The sequence below is a fragment of the Homo sapiens genome, chromosome 5 (genome assembly GCF_000001405.40).
Source record: "Homo sapiens chromosome 5, GRCh38.p14 Primary Assembly".
Lineage (NCBI taxonomy): Eukaryota > Metazoa > Chordata > Mammalia > Primates > Hominidae > Homo > Homo sapiens.
In genome coordinates this window covers 163201444-163226925 of record NC_000005.10, presented here as the reverse complement: position 1 = coordinate 163226925, position 25482 = coordinate 163201444, and the positions used below count along the sequence as shown (strand labels likewise).

The following is a 25482-nucleotide window of genomic DNA, read 5'->3' as shown; positions in this document are numbered from 1 at the left end:
GCAAGATATATGCCAGACAGATGATAGTGATTCTCTTTGGAGAAGGGAAGGGATTGAGAGAAGGTCATAAAAGGGGAGTTAATAATTTTTACATTCTACTATTTAACATATTTAAATCATTCATGTGGATAGGGTGTGTAAATCATTCATGTGGATAGGGTGCATTTGTACACACATGTGCACACACATGATTCCCAATGCTATATATACATATATGTATATAAATAAATAATATCATACTCTGAAGATTGTTTTGGAACTTGCTTTATTTTTTTCTTTTCTTTTTCAATTAGTGATATATCTGGGATGACTATCCAAACCAGCATATAGAAATTGTTTTGTGATGTAAAATGGTTGCATTGCATCTGTAGCATAGCATAATCATGATTAATATACATATTTTCCTATTGGTAAAATTTTTGTTTCATTTTAATTACAAAAAGAAATAATAATATTTTAGAATGTTTATCTTTGAACAGGTCAGAATCCTGTAGCGTAGATTCATAGAAGTGGAATTCTGAGTAAAAAGACATGCACATATAGAATAGATGCCAAATTACCCTCTAAAAAGGCTGCACCAATTTCTACTTCCACAGTTTTGGTCTCCATACCCTTGTCAAATATAGACATTTATTACTTATTTTTACTTTTTACTGACCGATGTGTAAAAAATCATATTTTATTGTTACTTTATTTGCATTTCCCTAATTACCAATGAAATTTTCTTGAACATCCAATTCTTCATTCTCTGGAAACCCATATACTCCAGTTTTTCTACTTAGATTTGAATCATTATTTTAGAAATTCATGTATTAGTAAATCACATTATTTTTCCAGCAAGGGATGATAAGAGCAGTGACTCTTAATCCTTTTAAATCTTTGAATTATTTGACTCTCTGACTTACTGAAAAGCCAAAAGATATTCCCAATTACTTTCTCCGTTTCCAAGCCAATTCCTGTCTTCTAGGTATCCTACTCACTGGGGCTCTGATGGGTAGGTATGCTGCATTTAAAGCAGGATAGTTCTTTCTTCTGGAAGACTTTGAGAATTAGATGTAATAGTAAGAATAAATCATATGTACTGTTGTTTAATGAGTTTCTTTTGAATTTAAACACTTAACCAGGTTTTTTGCATTTAATCCTTTCATCAGCCTTATGAAGAAGTTATTACTTATACTCATTTTACACGTAAACTAAAACTCAGAAAATTAAATTGTTGTCCCAAGTTTCATAGCTAGTAGGTGTCTGACTCTAGAGCTGTGACGATTCTGTGGTATCTTTATAGCCTTGTCCTAGTCTGTCTCTAATTCACACTCCATAGGCTTTTTTTTACATATAAAACTTTAGTAGGAAATAAAACAGAGATTACAAAACAATACCGTTTCCTTTTTTATGCAAATACTTCAATATTCCAGTATTTTTACTCACTTGCTAAATAAAACACACAACTGGAAACACTAAATAACTCTGTTAGTCTAAATCTTTTAAAGAATAAAATGTTGGGTAAAAACCCAAAATTGACTAGTGAGATATGTATGACCTTGTTTATTATCTATCATAGGCAACAAGATGATCCTTGAGACAGAGAGTAGAGCATTTACAGGCCTTGTCAGGAAAATGTGACTAAATCCTAGGTCCTTCAACCCCGTAGCTATCAGCTTTCATTTACTGGTGTTCTGTGAGGAAATTAAGCCATGATCAGGCTATTCTTTTCTCAGTTTTCCCGAGGATGGTATGCTAGTAATATTCTATATACACAGGAGATAGGTTAATTCATTAAATATGATGGATGTCTTGGGCCATCAGGGCTTAATGCTCTCCTGGAATCCTTGTTGAGAAGTGCTGATAGACTGTCATCTTTCATGAGTCTCTGTCACTTGAGTACTGTTAATTGTTTAAACTTTAAAAACAGACACACATGAAAAATGACTCTTAGTGCCCATGAGATAACATTTCTGTGACTTTTTGATACCTGAATGTCACTCAAGTAACAAGTCCACATAGTAATAAACTTGTTCTACAAAGTACCTGACTATTGATAATTTCAGTGGCAAATCTGTTAAAAAGGCTTATTTTTACTTTCATCTTCCCACTACTCAAAATGTACGATTTCTAAGAAATGTCCTGGGGCCACAACCATGCTATGTTCTTCCAGAATTTTCTTTTTTTTAATACTTGGCCTTAATTTTATTTATAATCTATGGAGTTTTTTTTTTCTTCCAGAATTTTTGTCAAAGATTTTGTACTTAACAGTCTCAGGGTAAAGGCTCAGGTTAAGGAAATTGCCCAATGTTCGTTCATAGCTGGTTAGTGACAACGTCTAGATTTCTATTTAAGTCTATCGACTTCAAAGCTCTTTGGACTAAAGTATTGTTTTTCCTAGGTAGCCAAAAAGATTGAAATAAATGCAAATGCCTATGGCTTATAAGGTAGTTATCTTACAACTACCTTCATGATTTGAAAAACAGCCACTCAAAAATGATAGTAACAGTAACAGTGACATCTAAAAACACCTGGTGAAAACACCAGGAGGTAATATGCTGTAGTGAAAAACAAGTAAGTCATTTTTGATGTCATGAAAATGCAGACTAGATGTAATTTAGATGAACACTCAGTGAACACAGAGGCTTGCACTTCTTTACCTTTAATGAGAGGAGACACGCTTATTGAGAGATACAAAGTTTCTGTGAGAGATGCCTCCTCTTGAAGTAGGTTAGATAAGGTGGTCATAGTGTCTCTTAAAGGGGAGCAAACCTGCCAAATAAATGGAGATAACAATCCACTCTGCAGTGTATGAACTGCATTCTGGGCTCATGGTTGAACACTTTGCAGCAAGGAGGTAAAAGAGCAGAAGGGAAAATCCCCAAATTCATGCAACTGCAGAAACCCATGATTAGTGTCTTTGGGCTGACTTATTATGCTCATTATAATAGTAAAAGACACCCTTGGGTAGAGAATTAAGAGGCTTATGAGACATGGGATGTATGTACTAGCATGTACAGCAAGATCTTTGTAATCCCCTAAACTTGTTAAATAAGATCAATCTGTTACTAATACCATAAAACTTGCCCCAATACCCTGTAACTCAGGCTCTTAAGAATTCTGGAGAGACAAAGGTAAAGCTAGAGATCGGACTCACTCCTACAACCTTGAAAGACATTTTGAATTTGATGATAACATGAGATCAAACTGGCACCTGATAACTCAAAGAAGAAAGGTTTTATGAAGAGTTTATAGAAGCCCAGGTGCGGTGGCTCACACCTGTAATAATCTCAGTACTTTGGGAGGCGCAGTGGACAGATTGCTTGAGGTCCAAAGTTCAAGCCAAGCCTGTCTAATATGGTGAAACCCTGTCTCTACTAAAAATACAAAAATTAGTTGGACTGTGGTGGCTCGCGCCTGTAATATAGCTACTTGGGGGACTGAGGAAGGAGAATCGCTTGAACCCAGGAGATGGAGGTTGCAGTGAGCTGGGATCCCGCCACTGCACTCCAGCCTGGGCAACAGAGACAGACTCTGTCTCAAAAAAAAAAAAAAAAAAAAAAGAGTTTATAGATGAGCTCCTGCCCATTATGACAATATTTTTCTGTCTCCCAATTTTTTTCTCATTCTTACTGCAGTTTCCATAACAACCCATATCCCATAAGCAACTGAAGTTACTAATGAGGAGACAGTTTTCACTAGCTTTTTGATGTTTGGGAACCGTTTTCTCATTGACACTCTGTGATTTTCAGGGAACCTTTGCTCTTATTGACACTCTATGATCTACAACCCTGCCAATTAGGTTGTAGTTTCCAAGCATTCTAGACACCCCAGTGCCTACTATAATAACATTTTAAGTTTTGTGGTTGTTACACCAGTATCAATAAATTTTAAAAAATATAATTTTCTTTGAATGCATGTAGGGTATAAGAAAAACATATTTTCTTCAGTGTTAGCCAGTCTTCAGAAAGAAGAAAAAGACTTACTCGTCTTAATAAAAACAAAGGTAAAGTGTTATTGTGATTGTGGGAAAAGGATTTTTGTAGCACTTGATGTGGGAAAAGAATGATTTCAAAAACTTCACAGTTTATCAGTCTCTTGATTATGACTGAAGGGAAAATACATAGTGTGCATATTTAATTTTTCTGCCCTTAGAAACTGTTTTTTATGATTATTTTTGGTTATTAGGTATCTCTCATGGAAATATATAGGATGAAGAGACATCAACATGTATGATTTAATCCAAGTATCATCTACCTTACACATTATTTATATGAAATAATATAAAATATAGTATCTGTGTGTCATATTGATCTTATTATTGTATTACCATATATTGGGACTTATGTTTTTAGTTTCTCTTTAAAGCCTCTTGCCTCACTTGTCTCTTTTATTCAGCTCAGTTCCCAAATCTTGAACTCATGAGTTGAAATTGGTAGAGGACTGACTGAACTATCCCATACTATAAGGAGTATCAAGGAATCATAGAATTTGTTTTAGCTTACTAGATGTAATTTCAATGTATAATATTTGCAAGTGACAAGAATTATACTTACACTCACTGTATGTATGTGTGTGTGTATCTATTATCTATCATTAATTCATTCATTTTAGTTGCTTGGAGATTCTCTAATGTGTCATTGTTATCATAATTTCCTTTAATTCTTATAAACATGGTTCTTTTGGTATTTTGAACATATTTATGATCATTGTCTGGTAGTCTGTCTGCTAAGTTAAACATTTGGAAACTTTTAGAAACAGTTTCAGTGGATGTGTTTTTTTATTACTAGCAGTCAAAATTACATATTTCTTGTCAGACGTCACTTTTTTCTTATTGAAAACTGGACATTTTTGGCGTATTGTAGCAACTCTGGATTCTGATCTTTCCCCAGCTGGGGGTTTTTGCTGCTGCTATTTTGTTTATTTGTTTAGTAAGTTGCCTGTGCTAATTCTATGAAGCCTGTCTTCCTCTGGGTGGACACTGCTGTCTCTTCCGAGTGATTTTTTTTTCTTTCTTTCCTTCCTTCCTTCCTTCCTTCCTTCCTTCCTTCCTTCCTTCCTTCCTTCCTTCCTTTCTTCCTCCCTTCCTTCCTTCCGTTTTGTTAAATCTGGCTTTCTAGGGGTAACCTTGGGTGAGCATAACTTGGTATTGGGCCAGTGATTGGTCAGAGGTCGTGTTTAATCATCTCAAGCCAGTAACAGTTCCACTGTTTACTAACAGATATATTTGTGGCTTGGGGGATGCATTCAGAATTCAGTCAATTTGTTAAGTCTTCCCTGGCTTTTACTTTCTGCTCAGCCTGCTTGTTTCACCTCTGCATGGGTGCATGGCCTTACGCACAGCCTTCCAGATTTCCAGGGATATGTACTTGCTTATCAAGTCTCACTCATTCCCTGCATCTTCCTGTTAAATTTCTGGCTAGTCTGCCAGTTTGTTACTAGACCCATCCAGGATCATCAAGTCAGTATAGCTTTGACCTTTGATTTTCCCTATTCTTTTTTTTTTTTTTTTTTTTTTTGAGGCGGAGTTTCGCTCTGTCGCCCAGGCTGGAGTGCAGTGGCGCGATCTCGACTCACTGCAAGCTCCGCCTCCCGGGTTCACGCCATTCTCCTGCCTCAGCCTCCCGTGTAGCTGGGACTACAGGCGCGCGCCACCATGCCCGGCTAATTTTTTTGTATTTTTAGTAGAGACGGGGTTTCACCGTGTTAGCCAGGATGGTCTCGATCTCCTGACCTCGTGATCCGCCCGTCTCGGCCTCCCAAAGTGCTGGGATTACAGGCGTGAGCCACCGCGCCCGGCCTTCCCTATTCTTTTAACATCACTGTGGCTGCTGTTTCTGACAGTGCCCAGGTGCATGGGTTTTTTTTTCTGACCTTTGCTGCAAATTAAGACATCCCCTCCTTGGGCAATAAAGCTGCTGGTTTCACCGCTTGCCCCTGACCTTATAGAGCTACTAAGCTGATGGGTGCTGGGAAAGACAAGTAGGGAGCAGCTTCAGGCTAAAACCCCACAGATTCCCGCTGTTATTATCCAGGGTTTAGTTTTTCTTTATTATTGAATCTGAGTGTCTTATTTTGCTTTATGCCTTTCGTCCATTTCTAAAGAAATTGTACCTTTGGTCTATTCCAGAATCCTGAAATCTTAGTGTTGGACAATTTTGTTCAGTTTTATCACTGCTTTTTAAGAAGAGGATTTGATGAACTCCTCTCTCCATCATCCCAAAGCCCTGTTCAATCCAGTCACATTTTGGCAGCTGTTCTGTTTAAGATTTCTTGAAAATTTCTGTCATTGAACACAATTTGTTGGCTTTCTAGGCATTTGGCACATGTTGCCCACTAGTAATTGTCTTTTATTTCTTTAGAACTTGCTCATAGTTGCCCAAGACAGCTCTATGATGTGATGACATTTTCTTTAACATTTCCCTTATCAAATGCTAGTTTAATAACTTTACATTGGTTAGTATGGTGAAATTTTTCATGTAATTCTAGTATTTAGTTCTCCCTCTGAGGTATGTCTATCTAACTCTACTCTGGAGATAGTCATGTGCAATCTTTGTGAGATGCAGAAGTTATAAAGTGAAAATTCTCAGAGGCTCTCTTTCGCCTCCTGTCCTGTTCATCTCTGGTTGATGGTTTTTCTGAATCTTTTCAACCAGTTTCTAGACCCTAATCTGTATATCTGTGTTCAGGGCTTTCTCTTACATATTTGTTTTCTTATTTATATTCTTTGTCTCTTTATAGTTGAAAGAACTAATACTGCTTTGAAAATTACTTTTAAACCTTTAACAATTTCCTGCTTACGTGGGATGGTAAAATGAAATTTCTCTGTACTTATGCCAGAAAATATGAACTCTATCCTGATTCTCCTCATCTGTAAACTAAAGAGATTGGAGTAGTTCAATTTCAGGGCTACCTCTGGCTCTATTGTTCTGTGATTCTGTGAACTTGAATTCCTACATTAACTATGAAATATAGCTATTTAATAAATTTGGTGTTATACATTAAAACCTATATAATCTTTGCGTATAATAAAAGGGATAGATACATATTAATTAAGTGTTCACTTACTGAAATTGTCCTGAGAGGCGAGTGAAATTTAAGAATTGAAATCATTTTTTTTCTTTTTCCATGCCATGTTCTCAAACACAAACTATCTTTTGGAGGTGATTGGGGCCCAGCAGCTTCCTCTTTCACAGCTAGTGGAGCACTGAGAATTCAGTGCACTGGCAGTCAGGGTTAGAGGGGGGTTAGTGTGAGTGTCAGAAATGGGATTTCAAATACTAAATAGCCTTCCGCTTCATATCCATAAGGCTTTGCTCTTCCCTGAGCTTAGTGCTGATTTTAAAAACATATTTAGCCTATTTTGATTTGTGCTAATTATTCAGAGTGTATTAAATATCAATGTGAATATTGAGACTGAAAACATTCCCAACATATTTATTGCAACTACACACCCTGAGCACATGCTTTGTTTGTAAATGAGCCAATGTAATACTTTAGCAAACACCATATAACAATATATTAAGTCCTAGTGCAGTGGGTCATGCCTGTAATCCCAGCACTTTGGGAGACCGAGGTGGGAGGATCACTCGAGGCCAGGAGTTTGAGACCAACCTGGGCAACACAGGAAGACCCTTTCTCTACAAGAAAATAAAAGAATTAACCGGGTGTCGTGGTGTGCACCTACAGTCCTTGCTACTTGGGGGGCTGGGATGGGGAAGAGCACCTGAGCCCAGGAGTTTGAGGTTGCAGTAAGCTATGATCTTGCCACTGCACTTGCCTGGGTGACAGAGAGATACCCTATCTCAAAAAGAAAAAAAATATATACTTATATGAAATACAATGTATTTTTATAAGGTAATGCTAATTCTTTTTTTTTTTTTTTTTGAGACAGAGTCTTGCTCTGTCGCCCAGGCTGGAGTGCAGTGGCACCATTTCAGCTCACTGCACCCTCTGCCTCCTGGGTTCAAGTGATTCTCATGCCTCAGCCTCCCAAGTAGATGGGATTACAAGCATGTGCCACCACATCTGGCTGATTTTTGTATTTTTAGTAGAGGCGGGGTTTCACCATGTTGGCCAGGCTGGTCTTGAACCCCTGACCTTAAGTGATCTTCTCACCTCTGCCTCCCAAAGTGCTGGGATTACAGGTGTGAGCCACTGTGCCCAGCCAGTTAATGCTAATTCTAATTTGAAACATTTTAAAGAAATTATGATCATTTATTTACTCGCTATTAAAGAGGGTAAACTTATATTTTAAATATCTTTCCAACTCTCTGCTTCTTTTTGGTTGAGATTTAACATTAATCTTGGCTCTTTTGCTCCACCCAAGTAATAGGAACTGTCTTTTACTGACCATCTACTATATGGTAAGCCCCATGCTAGGTGCTTTACAAGGAAGACATCTGATTCTTGAAATAACCCTCCATGGTAGGACTTGCTTTGTGGATGGGAAAACAGGCTAAAAAATGTGACTCAGGCAGTCACAGCTTGTAGGTGGTAGAAATAGTTTTCAAAGACAGAACTCTGCCTCCAAAGTTTGCATCCTTTCCATTACCCCACATATACCCTCCCTACCTACCTCCCCTGTTGGCTGTGATAAGGGATATATGTGGATGTTGGCTACTTTTTAATTTATTTTTTGATCTGTTCTGCATCTGTTCATTTTAGGAACTGTCTTTTTTCCCCCTACTTCCTGCAATTCTTTTTTTTTTTTTTTCCTTTTGAGACAGGGTTTAGCTCTGTTGCCTAGGCTGGAGTGCAGTGTGGTGTGATCTTGGCTGACGGCAATTTCTGCCTCCTGGGTTCAAGCAATTCTTTTTTTTTTTTTTTAAATACTTTAAGTTCTAGGGTACATGTGCACAACGTGCAGGTTTGTTACATAGGTATATATATGTCATGTTGGTGTGCTGCACCCATTAACTCATCATTTACATTAAGTATATCTCCTAATGCTATCCCTCCCCCATCCCCCCACCCCACGACAGGCCCTGGTGTGTGATGTTCCCCACCCTGTGTCCAAGTGTTCTCATTGTTCAATTTCCCCTATGAGTGAGAACATGTGGTGTTTGGTTTTCTGTCCTTGCAATTGTTTGCTCAGAATGATGGTTTCCAGCTTCATCCATGTCCCTACAAAGGACATGAACTCATCCTTTTTTATAGCTGCATAGTATTCCATGGTGTATATGTGCCACATTTTCTTAATCCAGTCTATCATTGATGGACATTTGGGTTGGTTCCAAGTCTTTGCTATTGTGAATAGTGCCGCAATAAACATATGTGTGCATGTGTCTTTATAGCAGCATGATTTATAATCCTTTGGGTATATACCCAGTAATGGGATGGCTGGGTCAAATGGGATTTCTAGTTCTAGATACTTGAGGAATCGCCACACTGTCTTCCACAATGGTTGAACTAGTTTACAGTCCCACCAACAGTGTAAAAGTGTTCCTATTTCTCCATATCCTCTCCAGGACCTGTTGTTTCCTGACTTTTTAATGATCACCATTCTAACTGGCATGAGATGGTATCTCATTGTGGTTTTGATTTGCATTTCTCTGATGGCCAGTGATGATGAGCATATTTTCATGTGTCTTTTGGCTGCATAAATGTCTTCTTTTGAGAAGTGTCTCTTCATATCCTTTGCCCACTTTTTGATGGGGTTGTTTGAGTTTTTCTTGTAAATTTGTTTACGTTATTTGTAGATTCTAAATATTAGCTCTTTGTCAGATGGGTAGATTGTAAAAATTTTCACCCGTTCTGTAGGTTGCCTGTTCACTCTGATGGTAGTTTCTTTTGCTGTGAAGAAGCTCTTTAGTTTAATTAGATCCCATTTGTCAATTTTGGCTTTTGTTGTCATTGCCTTTGGTGTTTTAGTCATGAAGTCCTTGCCCATGCCTATGCCTGAATGGTATTGCCTAGGTTTTCTTCTAGGCTTATTATGGTTTTAGGTCTAATATTTAAGTCTTTAGTCCATCTTGAATTAATTTTTGCATAAGGTGTAAGGAAGGGATCCAGTTTCAGCTTTCTATGTATGGCTAGCCAGTTTTCCCAGCACCATTTATTAAATAGGGAATCCTTTCCCCATTTCTTGTTTTAGTCAGGTTTGTCAAATATCAGATGGTTGTAGATGTGTGGTATTATTTCTGAAGGCTCTGTTCTGTTCCATTGGTCTATATCTCTGTTTTGGTACCAGTAGCATGCTGTTTTAGTTACTGTAGCCTTGTAGTATAGTTTGAAGTCAGGTAGCATGATGCCTCCAGCTTTGTTCTTTTGGCTTAGGATTGTCTTGGCGATGCAGGCTCTTTTTTGGTTCCATATGAACTTTAAAGTAGTTTTTTCCAATTCTGTGAAGAAAGTCATTGGTAGCTTGATGGGGATGGCATTAAATCTATAAATTATCTTGGGCAGTATGGCCATTTTCATGATATTGATTCTTCCTGTCCATGAGCATGGAATGTTGTTCCATTTGTTTGTGTCCTCTTTTATTTCATTGAGCAGTGGTTTGTAGTTCTCCTTGAAGAGGTCCTTTACATCCCTTGTAAGTTGGATTCCTAGGTATTTTATTCTCTTTGAAGCAATTGTGAATGGGAGTTCACTCATGGTTTGGCTTTTTGTTTGTCTGTTGTTGTTGTATAGGAATGCTTGTGATTTTCGCACATTGATTTTGTATCCTGAGACTTTGCTGAAGTTGCTTATCAGCTTAAGGAGATTTTGGGCTGAGATGATGAGGTTTTCTAAATATACAATCATGTCATCTGCAAACAGGGAAAATTTGACTTCCTCCTTTCCTAACTTAATACTCTTTTTTTCTTTCTCCTGCCTGATTGCCCTGGCCAAAACTTGCAACACTATGTTGAATAGGAGTGGTGTGAGAGGGCATCCCTGTCTTGTGCCAGTTTTCAAAGGGAATGCTTCCAGTTTTTGCCCATTCAGTATGATATTGGCTGTGGGTTTGTCATAAATAGCTCTTATTATTTTGAGATACATCCCATCAATAACTATTTTATTGAGAGTTTTTAGCATGAAGGGTTGTTGAATTTTGTCAAAGGCCTTTTCTGCATCTATTGAGATAATCAAGTGGTTTTCGTCTTTGGTTCTGTTTATATGATGGATTACATTTATTGATTAGCGTATGTTGAACCAGCCTTGCATCCCAGGGATGAAGCCAATTTGATCATGGTCAGTACACTTTTTGATGTGCTGTTGGATTCAGTTTGCCAGTATTGTATTGAGGATTTTTGCATCAATGTTCATCAGGGATATCGGTCTAAAATTCTCTTTTTTTTTGTTGTGTGTCTGCCAGGCTTTGGTATCAGGATGATGCTGGCCTCATAAAATGAGTTAGAGAGGAGTCCCTCTTTTTCTATTCATGGGAATAGTTTCAGAAGGAATGGTACCAGCTCCTCTTTGTACCACTGGTAGAATTCGGGTGTGAATCTGTTTGGTCCTCAACTTTTTTTGGTTGGTAGGCTATTAATTATTGCCTCAATTTCAGAGCCTGTTATTGGTCTATTCAGGGGTTCAATTTCTTTCTGGTTCAGTCTTGAGATGGTATATGTGTCCAGGAAATTATCCATTTCTTCTAGATATTCTAGTTTATTTGCATAGAGGTGTTTATAGTATTCTCTGATGGTAGTTTGTATTTCTGTGGGATCAGTTGTCATATCCCCTTTATCATTTTTTATTGCATCTATTTGATTCTTCTCTCTTTTCTTCTTAATTAGTCTTGCTAGTACTAGGTCTATCAATTTTGTTGATCTTTTCCAAAAACCGGCTCCTGGATTCATTGATTTTTTGAAGGGTTTTTTGTGTCTGTATTGCCTTCAGTTCTGCTCTGATCTTAGTTATTTCTTGCCTTCTGCTAGCTTTTGAATGTGTTTGCTCTTGCTTCTCTAGTTCTTTTAATTGTGAAGTTAGGGTGTCAATTTTACATCTTTCCTGCTTTCTCTTGTGGGCATTTAGTGTTATGAATTTCCCTCTACACACTGCTTTAAATATGTCCCAGAGATTCTGGTTGGTATGTTGTGTCTTTGTTCTCATTGGTTTCAAAGAACATCTTTATTTCTGCCTTCATTTTGTTATGTACCAGTAGTCATTCAGGAGCAGGTTGTTCAGTTTCTATGTAATTGAGTGGTTTTGAGTGACTTTCTTAATCCTGAGTTCTAGTTTGATTGCACTGTGGTTTGAGAGACAGTTTTTTATAATTTCTGTTCTTTTACATTTGCTGAGGAGTGTTTTACTTCCAACTATGTGGTCAATTTTGGAATAAGTATGATGTGGTGCTGAGAAGAATGTATATTCTGTTGATTTAGGGTGGAGAGTTCTGTAGATGTCTATTAGGTCCACTTGGTGCAGAGCTGAGTTGAAGTCTTGGATATCCTTGTTAACTTTCTGTCTTGTTGATCTGTCTAATGTTGATAGTGGGGTGTCAAAGCCTCCCATTATTATTGTGTGGGAGTCTAAGTCTCTTTGTAAGCCACTAAGGGCTTACTTTATGAATCTGGGTATTGGGTGCATATATACTCAGGTTAGTTAGCTCTTCTTTTTGAGTTGATCCCTTTACCATTATGTAATGGCTTTCTTTGTCTCTTTTCATCTTTGTTGGTTTATAGTCTGTTTTGTCAGAGACTAGGATTGCAATCTCTGCTTTTTTTGTTTTTCATTTGCTTGGTAGATTATCCTCCATCCCTTTATTTTGAGCCTATGTGTGCCTCTGCACATGAGATGGGTCTCCTGAATACAGCACACTGATGAGTCTTGACTCTTTATCCAATTTGCCGATCTGTATCTTTTAATTCAAGCATTTAGCCCATTTACATTTAAGGTTAATATTGTTATGTGTGAATTTGATCCTGTCATTATGATGTTAGCTGGTTATTTTGCCCATTAGTTGATGCAGTTTCTTCCTAGCGTTGATGATCTTTACAATTTGATATGTTTTTGCAGTGGCTGGTACTGGTTGTTCCTTTCCATGTTTAGTGCTTCCTTCAGGAGCTCTTGTAAGGCAGGCCTGGTGGTGACAAAATCTCTCAGCATTTTTTTGTCTGTATAGGATTTTATTTCTCCTTCACTTATGAAGCTTAGTTTGGCTGGATATGAAATTCTGAGTTAAAAATTCTTTTCTTGAAGAATGTTGAATATTGGCCCTCACTCTCTTCTGGCTTGTAGGGTTTCTGCCGAGAGATCCGCTGTTAGTCTGATGGGCTTCCCTTTGTTGGTAACCTGATCTTTCTCTCTGGCTGCCCTTAACATTTATTTCTTTCATTTTAACTTTGGTGAATCTGACAATTATGTGTCTTGGAGTTGCTCTTCTTGAGGAATATCTTTGTGGCGTTGTCTGTATTTCCTGAATTTCAATGTTGGCCTGCCTTGCTAGGCTGGGGAAGTTCTCCTGGATAATATCCTGCAGAGTGTTTTCCAAATTGGTTACATTCTCTCCGTCACTTTCAGGTACACCAATCAGATGTAGATTTGGTCTTTTCACATAGTCCCATATTTCTTGGAAGCTTTGTTTGTTTCTTTTTACTCTTTTTTCTCTAAACTTCTCTTCTCATTTCATTTTATTCATTTGATCTTCAATCACTGATACCCTTTCTTCCACTTTGATCAAATTGGCTACTGAAGCTTGTGCATGCATCACATAGTTGTCGTGCCATGGTTTTCAGCTCCATCAGGTCATTTCAAGTCTTCTCTACACTGTTTATTCTAGATAGCCATTCGTCTAATCTTTTTTCAAGGTTTTTAGCTTCTTTGCGATGGGTTCGAACATTGTCCTTTAGTTCGGAGAAGTTTGTTATTACCGATTGTCTGAAGCCTTCTTTTCTCAACTCGTCAAAGTCATTCTCCGTCCAGCTTTGTTCCATTGCTGGTGAGGAGCTGTGTTCCTTTGGAGCAGAAGAGATGCTCTGATTTTTAGAATTTTCAGCTTTTCTACTCTGGTTTCTCCCCATATTTGTGGTTTTATCTACCTTTGGTCTTTGATGACGGTGATGTACAGGTGGGGTTTTGGTGTGGATGTCCTTTCTGTTTGTTAGTTTTCCTTCTAACAGTCAGGACCCTCAGCTGCCGGTTTGTTGGAGTTTGCTGGAGGTCCACACCAGAGCCTGTTTGCCTGGATATCACCAGCAGAGGCTGTAGAACAATAAATATTGCAGAACGGCAAATGTTGCTGCCTTATCCTTCCTCTGGAAGCTTTGTCTCAGAGGGGCACCCAGCTGTATGAGGTGTCAGTCGGCCCCTACTGGGATGTGTCTCCCAGTTAGGCTACTCAGGGGTCAGAGACCCACTTGAGGAGGCAATCTGTCCGTTCTCAGATCTCAAACTCCATACTGGGAGAACCACTTCTCTCTTCAAAGCTGTCAGACAGGGACGTTTAAGTCTGCAGAAGTTTCTGCTGCCTTTTGTTCAGCTATGCCCTGCCCCCAGAGGTGGAGCCTACAGAGGCAGGCAGGCCTCCTTGAGCTGTGGTGGGCTCCACCCAGTTCGAGCTTTCCGGCTGCTTTGTTTACCTACTCAAGCCTCAGCAATGGCGGATGCCCCTCCCGCAGCCTCGCTGCCACCTTGCAGTTCGATCTCAGATTGCTGTGCTAGCAGTGAGTGAGGCTCCATGGGCATGGGACCCTCCAAGCCAGGCGTGGGGTATAATCTCCTGGTGTGCTGTTTGCTAAGACCATTGGAAACGTGCAGTATTAAGGTGGGAGTGTCCCAATTTTCCAGGTACCATCTGTCATGGCTTCCCTTGGCTAGGAAAGGGAATTCGCCACTGGGAGCTGTAGACTGGAGCTGTTCCTATTTGGCCATCTTGGAACCTCACTCTGGGTTCAAGAAATTCTTGTGCCTCAGCCTCCCAAGTATCAGGGATTACAGGCATGCACCACCAAACCCAGCTAATTTTTGTATACATTTTTTAGGAGAGAGAGAGTTTCACCATGTTATCCAAGCTGGTCTCGAATTCCTGGCCTCAAGTGATCCTCTTGCCTCAGTCTCCTAAAGTGCTGGGATTATAGGTGTGAGCCACAGGGCCTGGGCCCCACATCCTCCAATTCTGAAAGGGTTCTTAAATATGTGGTCCTGGCCGGGCATGGTGGCTCGTCTGTAATCCCAGCACTTTGGGAGGCTGAGGTTGCGGGCAGATCATTTAAGGTCAGGAATTTGAGACAAGCCTGAACAAAGTGGTGAAACTCCATCTCTACTAAAATATAAAAATTAGCCAAGCATGGTGGTGCGCACCTGTAGTCTCAGCTACTTGGGGGTCTGAGGCAGGAGAATCGCTTGAACCAAGATCATGCCACTGCACTCCAGCCTGGGTGACAGAGCAAGACTCCCTCAAAAAAAAAATAAAAATAAAAAAAAAGCATGTGGTCCTGAGTTTCCTACCAAAGCATGGGCATGTAAAGCAAATAGGGATGGTATAGTCAAATAACTGACACAGACTCTCAGGGGTGCTGTTGTTATTGAATTTGCAGACTCTGAGGACCACATACACCTCATCTCTGTATTTATATAGTGCAGGTTAACTAGAAAAGTAGAGATTAGGCAAGGAGTGAGATACATGATGACATTGTTTGAACCTGTCGACTATCTGTGCCTGAGGCCACCTCACGCCCCTGTTACCTCTAGGATAAGTGAAACAATATATTCCTGCTGTTGCTTAAGCCAGCTTCCTTGAGTTTCTGATATTTGCAACCAAAGAATTGTAGCTGAAAATTTCTAATACATTCTTACCCTTAAAGGACTTGAATAGTATGCAAGGCTTTCTCCTGATAGCCTTGGTTGATTTAATACTGAATATTTGATGGTTGCATGGCTGTTACAGGTGACTGGCCCAAACTCCTTGCGCTAGAGCTTCAGTGAGGGAGCTATTCTCTTTCTCCCTCAGGTATGCGAAATGAATGCTGACTGGGTTGAGATGCCGAGTCATGTTAGACAGTTGAGAAGAGAAATCTGGGGGAATAAGATGCACATGACTTTAAAATGATAAGCCTTCTTAAGGTTACATTTAATGTGATGTGCCAAAGTTTCTGTTCTTGGTGCTGAATATTCATTTTAGTGAGGAGTCCCAGAGGCTTCACAACGGTGTCACTTTCTACAATTTCAGAGTGAAGAGAAATGTGCTTTCTGCTGATATTGTGCCCAAGGAGGAGTTGTAGGTAAGCTGGTGAATCTTTTTTAACCATTTAAGTTCTGACAAGCTGTTTTTTTTAAAAAAAGCTGACAATTCAGAAAATATTGAGAGTGCCATGAAAGCTTTTATTCAATTCCTGGTAAACTTGTTTTTAAAGGAGGATACATGAAGGGCAAAAAGGCATAAATTACCCATCTTTTAATAAACCCAAATTAAACTCAGTATGAGGTGCATGCATTATTTTAAAGTTATTAACTTCTAGACTCAGTTTAAATTGCCGTAAATTACATCTGGATGAACAACTTGGCCACCCTCTTCGCTCTAAATGTCATGGGATGATAACAGGGTTAATGCCCATCAATGATAGACTGGATAAAGAAAATGTGGCACATATACACCATGGAATACTATGCAGCCATAAAAAAGGATAAGTTCATGTCCTTTGCAGGGACATGGATAAAGCTGGAAATCATCATTCTCAGCAAACCAACACAAGAACAGAGAACCAAACACTGCGTGTTCTCACTCATAAGTGGGAGTTGAACAATGAGAACACATGGACACAGGGAGGGGAAAATCACACACTGAGGCCTGTCGGAGGGTTGGGGGCTAAGGGAGGTATAGCATTAGGAGAAATACCTAATGTAGATGACGGGTTGATAGGTGCAGCACACCACCATGGCACATGTATACCTGTGTAACAAACCATCATGTTCTGCACATGTATCCCAGAACTTAAAGTAGGATAATTTAAAAAAAAGTAAATGGAAGCCAGAAGAAACCTTGATTCATTCAGGTGGATAGAATTTATCACTACTCCCTGTTAGAATGCAAAGCCTTGCAGTCTTTTTACTTGCCAGCATTTTTAGTCCTGCTACAGGGAGATTTCTTAATAAATATTATTCAGTCGGATTTGGCTTGGGAGAAGCAAAGTGAGCATCAGGAGAAAGTGAAACATGGTTAGATTAGGAAAACAAAAGAAGCCCTCCTACCCGAGGCAATTAGGAACAATGGGTGGTGAATTAATTGAGAGAGTTATTTGGAGAGAGAATCATAAAAAATGAAGCGCATACACTCGACTTACAGTGGCGTTAAGTCCTACTAAACTTAAGGTAAATTGAAAATATCGTAAGTCGAAATGCATTTAATACCCTGAAAAACCATCGGAAAGTCGAAAAATTGTAAGTTGAACCATCCTAAGAATGCGACATTCTCTATTCCTTTGCCAATTTCATTAAAATAATTTGAGGCCTTCCTTTGAGATGAGCCTCAATGATTGACATTCTGCATCTTTTTTCGTGGCTAAACTACACCCATGATGCTTTATCTCTCATATCCTGTTTCCAGATTCTAGTTCTTCAAAAAGGGTCAGAATTTTAAAATCTTTGTGGAGCTGCCGGCTTCCACTCTCCATCTAGACTTTTGTGGATGTAATGCCTCCACCTCATTCACACCAAATTATATAGCAATTTTTGATAGTGGTCACATTTAGAACATGTTTTTGAAACATCCAATTTAGTTTTCATAGCAAAACACCTTTTCATTCTTTTTGAACTCTTATTTCAGTTGTTTATGTAATAGTTAATAAAATGTTCTAATTACCTCAACAAGTGCAGCTGGTAGAAAGCCAATAGGAACAAACAAACACAACTGACTCTTACAGCCCAACTGGTGGGCCCATAATTGGGTAGAGTGCTAGGAGGATGCGGTGATATTGTGATACAATAAGAAAAATGTATTTGGTTTCTGCTTCTTGTTCCTAGCACATAGTGCCTAAAACCTTGAAATCTCCAAAGTGATATCTTTTTGAACACTAATGAGACGATTGGTGCCTGGGGGCCCCTATATAGCTTCATAATGGGGGCTGCTCACCAGAAAGAGAGGCAGGATTAGAGGGTTGGAAATTTCAGCCCAACACCCCAATCTTCTAGGAGTGGATAGGAGCTGAAGATTGAGTCAATCACCAATGGCACATGATTTAATCAATCTTATCTACATAAAGAAGCCTCTATAAAAACCCAAAAGGACTAGCTTTGAAGGGCTCAAGAGCTTCCAGATTGCTGAACACATGAAGGTTCCTGGAGTGTGAGGTGCCCAGAGAGAGCATGGAAGCTCCTTACTCCTGCCACATGCTTTGCCCTCTGCACCTCTTCCATCTGGCTGTTCATCTATATCATTTGTTATATCCTCTAAATAAACCAGTCAACAGTAGTGTTCCCTGAGTTCTGTGAGCCGTTCTAGAAAAATAATCAAACTCAAGGAGGGGGTCATGGGAGCCTTGATTTATAGCTAGTTGGTCAGAAGCACAGCTCACAACCTGTGGCTTACAATGACATCTGAAGTGGAAGCAGTCTTGTGGGACTGAGCTCTTAATATGTGAGACCTGACACTATCTCCAGACAGGCAGTACTGGAACTGAAGTGAATTATAGGACAACCAGTTGGTATGTGCTAGAGAACTGATTGTTTTGGGAAGAAGTCCCCTACAACACTTTGTTGACCAGAGGTGAACTGTGCTGTGTTGAGTGTGTGAGAGGAGGAAAAACACTTTGGTTTTCTTATCTCTTACAGACTCCTATAATTTTATTATGACATGGGTATTAGACAGTTTCCTGAGTTTATAAGAGGGAATAGAGTGGGTTTGTTAATCTAGTGAGTAATTTAGCTGAAAGTTAGTTAAGAGATTTTTCCAGAGGAAAGTGTTCATAGGGAAGGAACTGGTTTGTGCTTTGTACTTATTTATAGATTTTCTAAAACATGGCTGGACTTTTCTTCAATGCACAAGTTAATAAAAACACAACATGTACTGTGAAATTAGATTCCCTTTCTGTGTCTCTGCTCTCAGAATGAATGAGCCAATTAGACGTGAACTCTGGTTTCTGAAGTAGCCACGATGGGCAGGTTGGGAAGGTAATAGATGGATCCTTGCTTCTGTTTAAACAAGTGAAAGGAAAAGACTGTAAAAAATCGTGGGATTGCCGGGATACACACTTTTTAAAATTCTGCCTTGAGACCTGACTCGATCACAAAGACATTCTCCATTGAACTTGTTTTCTCACTATGTCATTGCCTATTCCCCGATGGGGAAGCGTGTCATGATGATAGAATTGGAAAGTGCGCGCTGCCCTTGACTGTCCATTGTAACCATGTATCTAGCATTCTCTTAATCAAAATCTCACAGCCCTTGTTTGTAATCAGGTCCCAGTCCCATATCCTAGCAAGGGAAGCTGAAAAATGACAGAATTGCAATAGTAAATGTTTAGTGGCTTAGAGTAGCCTGTAGGTCTTCAATCATTAATGCCTCCTTTTTCTCTACTAAGCTATATTGCCATTAGAATGTGTAGAAACACATTTTTAATGCATTATTGATGAATGGGAAAAAACCCTCCTTTTTAATGAAAAATACTGTTTGGGTATATTTGGGTCTACAGAATTGTTGAATATGTCATCTACTGAATATTTAATCGCTATAACCTTACTGGAGGGTAGGGTAGAAAGCAAGAGGATAAGAAATAATGTTCACATTTTGGTAGATGTGGAGTGGTAACTAGTTTCTACCATTTATGCCATGTGTGAACAACTGCTGGGGTTTGCTACAGGAACATGACAAGCTGCTGTCACTAATGGAAACTGAAAAACGTTTCCATTTATCTTGCTTTCTGAATGTTGCCTCATAATCGGAACACAAATCATAAATAATGAAATCTAAGCCATGGGTTCCTCGGGAGTTGTGGAATTGCATTCCTCCTGATGAAAAAGATAGATTTCAGATAACCAGGGCTTGTTCTTGCGTATAATCAAGGGTGAGGATTCTGTACATTTTATGCGCTTCCCAACCACAAAAAAGACACAAAGAGTGAAGAAGTGGATCCTGGCCAGGGGTGGTAGCTCACACCTGTAATCCTAGCACTTTGGGAGTCTGAGGCAGGAAGATTGCCTGAGGCCAGTAGTTCAAAACTAGGCTGGGCAACACAGAAAGACCCTATCTCTAATTTTTTTTCAATGAGCCGCACGTGGTAGCATGTGCCTGTAGTCCCAGCTACTCAGGAGGCTGAGGTGGGAAGATTGCTGGATCCAGGAGTTTGAGGTTCTAGTGAGCTATAGTTATGGAACTACACGCCAGCCTGAGCAACAGAGTGAGATCTTGTCTCAAAAACAAGGAGCTGGGGGGGACTGAATCCCGAAGAAATGCTTCTAATGTTAGTGAAAGTCTATTTTACGTATGACATTACTTTGCATTTATAGTATTAGATGACATTATATAGAGAGAATTGTTTTCTATTAATATGGATAAGAAAATTAGGTACTTTTTAATAGCTTGTTTCAAAGACTTTCTGACTAATTTTCCTCCTTTTTTTGAGTTCTAGCTGCGACTCAGCCTGAAATTTCTAGTTAGGAAAAAAATGAGAAAAGCTACATTTGGTTCCACAGGTAGAAAACTATGGTTAAAACCATTAATGCATGTATATTATTATATTTTACATGTGGAATTATAAATCAGCTAATGACAGTGGGCCCAATTATATTTCTAGTTGTTTCTGCTGCTGTTCCTTATGACACAGGCATTTTAAAATGTAAAAGTGCTTTTAGTAACTCTGGAGATGAATACAGAGAAACTGGTTAATGTTAAAAAAAATCTATTGAACTTTGCATTTGATCTTTAGCATTGAGATGTGGTTGTGGGCACATACATAAAATGAGATATTCTCATTTAGGTTAATAGAAGTGGTATTGTAACCACTAAACATGGCTATGAGAAATCTTCTCATGATGCCTTCAGTAAAAACTAAAAATTGTATCCTAAATAATTGAAGAAATATTAATGATTCATGCAGGTTAGAACACTTGAAAGGCTCCACTTGTCCTTTACAACACCACCTCTTCTGATTGTCAGGGGCTTGCATTTCTTTCAAATTACCAGTGTTGATTTTCCAAGGACATGCACCTCATGCAGATTTATCTATTTATTAATGACTCAGCAAGTAATATCCCAAAAAATGACAATCTTGCCTATTACATAATGACATTTCTCCCTTTCAGAGCAAAGTATTTTATATTTTCATTTGGCCATACTGAAGGATAGGTTACCAAATGATGGATAAAGTCTAGGTTCAAATTCTAAAAGCTTTCAATATTTGCAAGTAAACAATTTAATTTTGTACTACCAAAAAGAATTGTTCTGCTTTTAGGGCGACTCACTGTCTGCTAAGATAGAAAGAGATAGAAGTAATATAATATATCAGAAGCAGAAGAATAACTGATTCCTGACAACTAACAAAAATAAAGTAATTGCAGGTCTTGGTTCAGCCATAATTTTGTGGCCAATTGTGAGAAGTTTTCATATAAACATCCATATACATATACATAAATATAGACAGTAGTAGTTATATATATATAAATATCAGATCGTCTTAAATAGGGCAAAGATTTTTTTTCACTTAGGGGTGCTATTGAATATTGAAAATATGGCATATATTCTCATATGAGAATATGCTATATAAACTTCTAGTCTATGGAAAAATACACTTACATTTTACAACTGCTTGTCTAGTTTCAGTATTTCTTTTTGTTGTTGTTGTTAGCTCATCAGAATGAGAAATGCAAACCTCAGTTGTTCTCAAGGGCTTAACCGCCAATCTTGTTCAACTTTTCCTATATTATTGATTTATTTTGGGCATTAATCAAGTCTGACCCTGATCTAAGAACTTGATGCTTCAGCATTCCATGGACTTTGGCCTGAAGTGAGAGAGTAAGCAGTTAATCACCTTTGGATGCCATCCCGATGTGCACCATTTAGTAGCATTATCAGTTTTTCCAGGCTTTGAAAATATTTCAATATCAAATTTATTATAACTTGAGGACTGTTAAGTCAAATTGTTTGGGAAAGTTGATAAAGATATGTCAGCATTGACTATTTCAGGCTACAGTTGATTGCCTCATCCTGTAGCTTGGACCAACTATGGTCAAAAGGAAATTAGACATCATTGAGTTATGCTATTATTAATCATATGGTGAATAGTAAAAATAGTAAGAGTAATGTACTAAAGTGGAAGAAAGTTTTCAAACTTCAGGCCCTCATTTATTATTAGGAGGCATTTGAATGCAAGATGGTTTTGATTGATTACATATCTGAATATTAATTTTTTTGTACTTTTCCTTTCCAACTAATTGAGTCAGAATACCTTTGTGAAACCATGTTTAGTACTTGGATCCAACTAAAATCCTCTAATAAAGGCTATTCGTGTAAAAACAAAATCATGATATATTTTTCTTTCTTGTTAAATAAAATGCAGATTTTTAGGATTTTTGAAGTCCGGTAGAGTCTAGTACATTCGTTGCTACTACATACATGAGCTACTTGCATCTTTATCTACTTATCCTGACATCCCTTCTTTGACTATGGAAAAACTGTCTGTTTTCCTACCTGAGGCCAACACTTCCTCTGGTTCATTAGCTTCCATTTTCCTGTGATTTTCCAAGGATATTATCTAGACATTCTTCTCTCTCCTGTAAATCAATTTTTCCACTGTAATTTTTGATCAGTATAATCACATGATGGAAAATTACCCATTAAATAAATCTCTTTGTTGTATTTCCTCCTCTCACTCCTATCACATTCTTCAGGAACTCTATGACAAAACTTCTAGAAATACCTATCCCTATCAGCTGTGCCCAAGATCACTCCTCTCATTCACTCTTGGCCTCCCCCTCAATCTGTCAAAATTGTGCTTGTCAAGATCATGAATGATTTTCCTTTTATTTGATGTAATGTTCAGTCCCCAGTTCTTATTTCCTTTGACCTTTCAGATCATTTGACACCAGTGTTCATGCCCTAATTTTCAACTTAGTTTTGTGGATACCAATTTTCTTGGTTCTTTTTATACCTCACTGGGCTCTTTCTTTCAGTCTTTGCTAGTTTCTCCTTATCTTCCCAACTTATTTGTGTTGCCTCAAGGCTAAATCTTTACATCGTGACTTTTCTTTAATCCAGACTGCCCTACTCTGTGAATCTTTCAGATCTCATTACTTTAATATCTTCTAAATATTAACAACTCCAAAATTTGTCCTACTCTTGACCTCTTTCCTCATCTCCAGACTCATATATTCAAATGTCTGCTTGTCATTCCACTTTGATATACTGTAGACATATTAAACTTAATATTGTAGGTACTAAAGTGAACTCCAATTTTGCTCTTTCTTTTCCAACATTACTCTTCTAAGAGTCTTTCTTACTTTAATAAATGGAAACTCTTTCCTTCCAGTTGCTCAGACAAGACAAAACAAAATAAAAAAACACATAAAAAGCCCCAAAGTAAGCAAAACAAAAGAACAAAATCAAAAACCATGCAGTTATCCTTTATTCCTCAGTTTTTTTTTCAAAATCTCACTTCTAAGCCTTCAGGAAATCCTGTTGGCTCTATTGTCAAAATACACAGATAACTGATCTCTTTCTTGTCCCTTTCATCATGACCATCATAGTTCAACCTGCCCACGTTACTGCTTTCATCATCCAACTCATCTTCCTGCTGCCACACTTCTTCTATGGTCTACACTCAACACAGCAGGCAGAATATATTTTTTAAACATAAGTGAGATCATGCCCTTCTCAGAATCTTCAAGTGGCCTCTCTTTTCTTCCAGAATAAATACTAAAGACTTTTCAATAGCTTAGGTTTTCAAGATCAGCCCCTCCACTACTTCTTTAACCTGATTCTCTACTCTTTTCCTTGTCACTCAGCTTCCCGGGCATACTGGTCTCCTTGCTATCTCTTAAATATTCCAGTTAAGGGCTTGGCGTGGTGGCTCATGCCTGTAATCCCAGCATTTTGGGAGGCTGAGGCGGGCGGATCACCTGAGGTCAGGAGTTTGAGACCAGCCTCAACATGGAGAAACCCCATCTCTACTAAAAATACAAAATGAGCTGGGCGTAATAGTGCATGCCTGTAATCTCAGCTATTCGGGAGGCTGAGGCAGGAGAATTGCTTGAACCTGGGAGGCAGAGGTTGCGGTGAGCCAGGATCACGCCATTGTACTCCAGCCTGGGCAAACACAGCGAAACTCCATCTCAAAAAAAAAAAAAAATAAAAATTCCCAGTTAAGCTCTTGCTCCAGGGACTTCCTTGATTCTTCTTTCTGGAACACCCTTCTCCTAGATATCCCATTACTTACTACTCTGTTTCTGCAGGTCTTGTTCAAATGTTACCTTATTAGTGGAGCCTTTTCTTGTTACTGGATATAAAATATATCACTTGTCCTAAGTTTGTTTACTATTTTATCCTGCATGGAAAATATATGCTCTGTGAGATGAGTGTTAGTGAAATATGAACTAAATATCTGTGTAATATTGACTGATGCTTCTGAAACCTGAAGGATCGTCACAATCATCTAAGTGGCTTGGTGTGTTAATTAGTCCATTTGCATTGCTATAAAGCAGTGGCGTCCAATCTTTTGGCTTCCCTGGGACACATTGGAAGAAGAAAAATTATCTTGGACCACACATAAAATACATTAACACTAATGATAGCTGATGAGATAAAAAAAATTGCAAAAAAACCTCATGTTTTACGAAAGTTTATGACTGTGTTGAGCCACAGTCAAAGTCATCCTGGGCCGCATGTGGCCCGTGGGCCGTGGATTGGACAAGCTTGCTATAAAGGAATACCTGAGACTGGATAATTTATAAAGAAATGAGGTTTATTTTGGCTTATGCTTCTGCAGGCTCTATAGATAGTGTGGTGCCAGCATCTGTGTCTGGTGAGGACCTCAGGAAGCTTCCAATCATGGTGTAAGGCAAAGGGGGAACTGGTGTATCACATGATGAGAGAGAGAGGAGGAGAAGCCAGGCTCCTTTAAACAACCAGCTCTCCAGTGAACTAAGAGAGTGAGAACTCACTTATTACCATGGGAAGGGCACCAAGCCATTCATGAGGAATCTGTCCCCATGACCCAAAAACCACTCATCATCATGCCCCATCTCTGACACTGGGGATCACATTTCTACATGAGGTTTGGAAGGCATAAACATCCAAACCATATTACTTAGTAAAAATGAAAATGTCCAGGTTTTATTGCTTAGTCACTGCAGCATCCAAATGGCCAGTAGAAAAGTGCTTGCTGCATAGTGGATGCTCAATGAATATATGAATGAAGGACTGAATGTGTGAATAAGATGCACTCCCCACTGTACAGGGCAGAAAATGTGTGGTTTTATTTCTCTTTTTACTAATGCATTTCTTATTCTGTGCAACACTTAGTGAAAGGCACCAAAACAAGTAGAAAGATATACTTTCTTTCAATATTTTTTCTAGTTAAAGAGATTACCATCATAGCTACAAAAATTAAGACTTTATCTATTTGCTACAATCCCACAGAACAATCT

General features: G+C 38.6%; 1 long non-coding RNA gene across 2 annotated transcripts in view; it reads left to right on the top strand.

Moving 5' to 3' along the window:
- LOC105377700 (uncharacterized) overlaps window positions 1-25482 on the top strand; it is a 348217-nt gene that overhangs the window by 210397 nt on the left and 112338 nt on the right. Inside the window, exon 3 of one of the 2 annotated variants that reach the window (XR_002956233.2) lies at window positions 16079-16130. The exons of the other annotated variant lie outside the window; for it this stretch is intronic. This is a non-coding gene — a long non-coding RNA (uncharacterized LOC105377700). The remainder of the gene's footprint in view (window positions 1-16078; window positions 16131-25482) is intronic. 2 annotated transcript variants of the gene reach the window in all.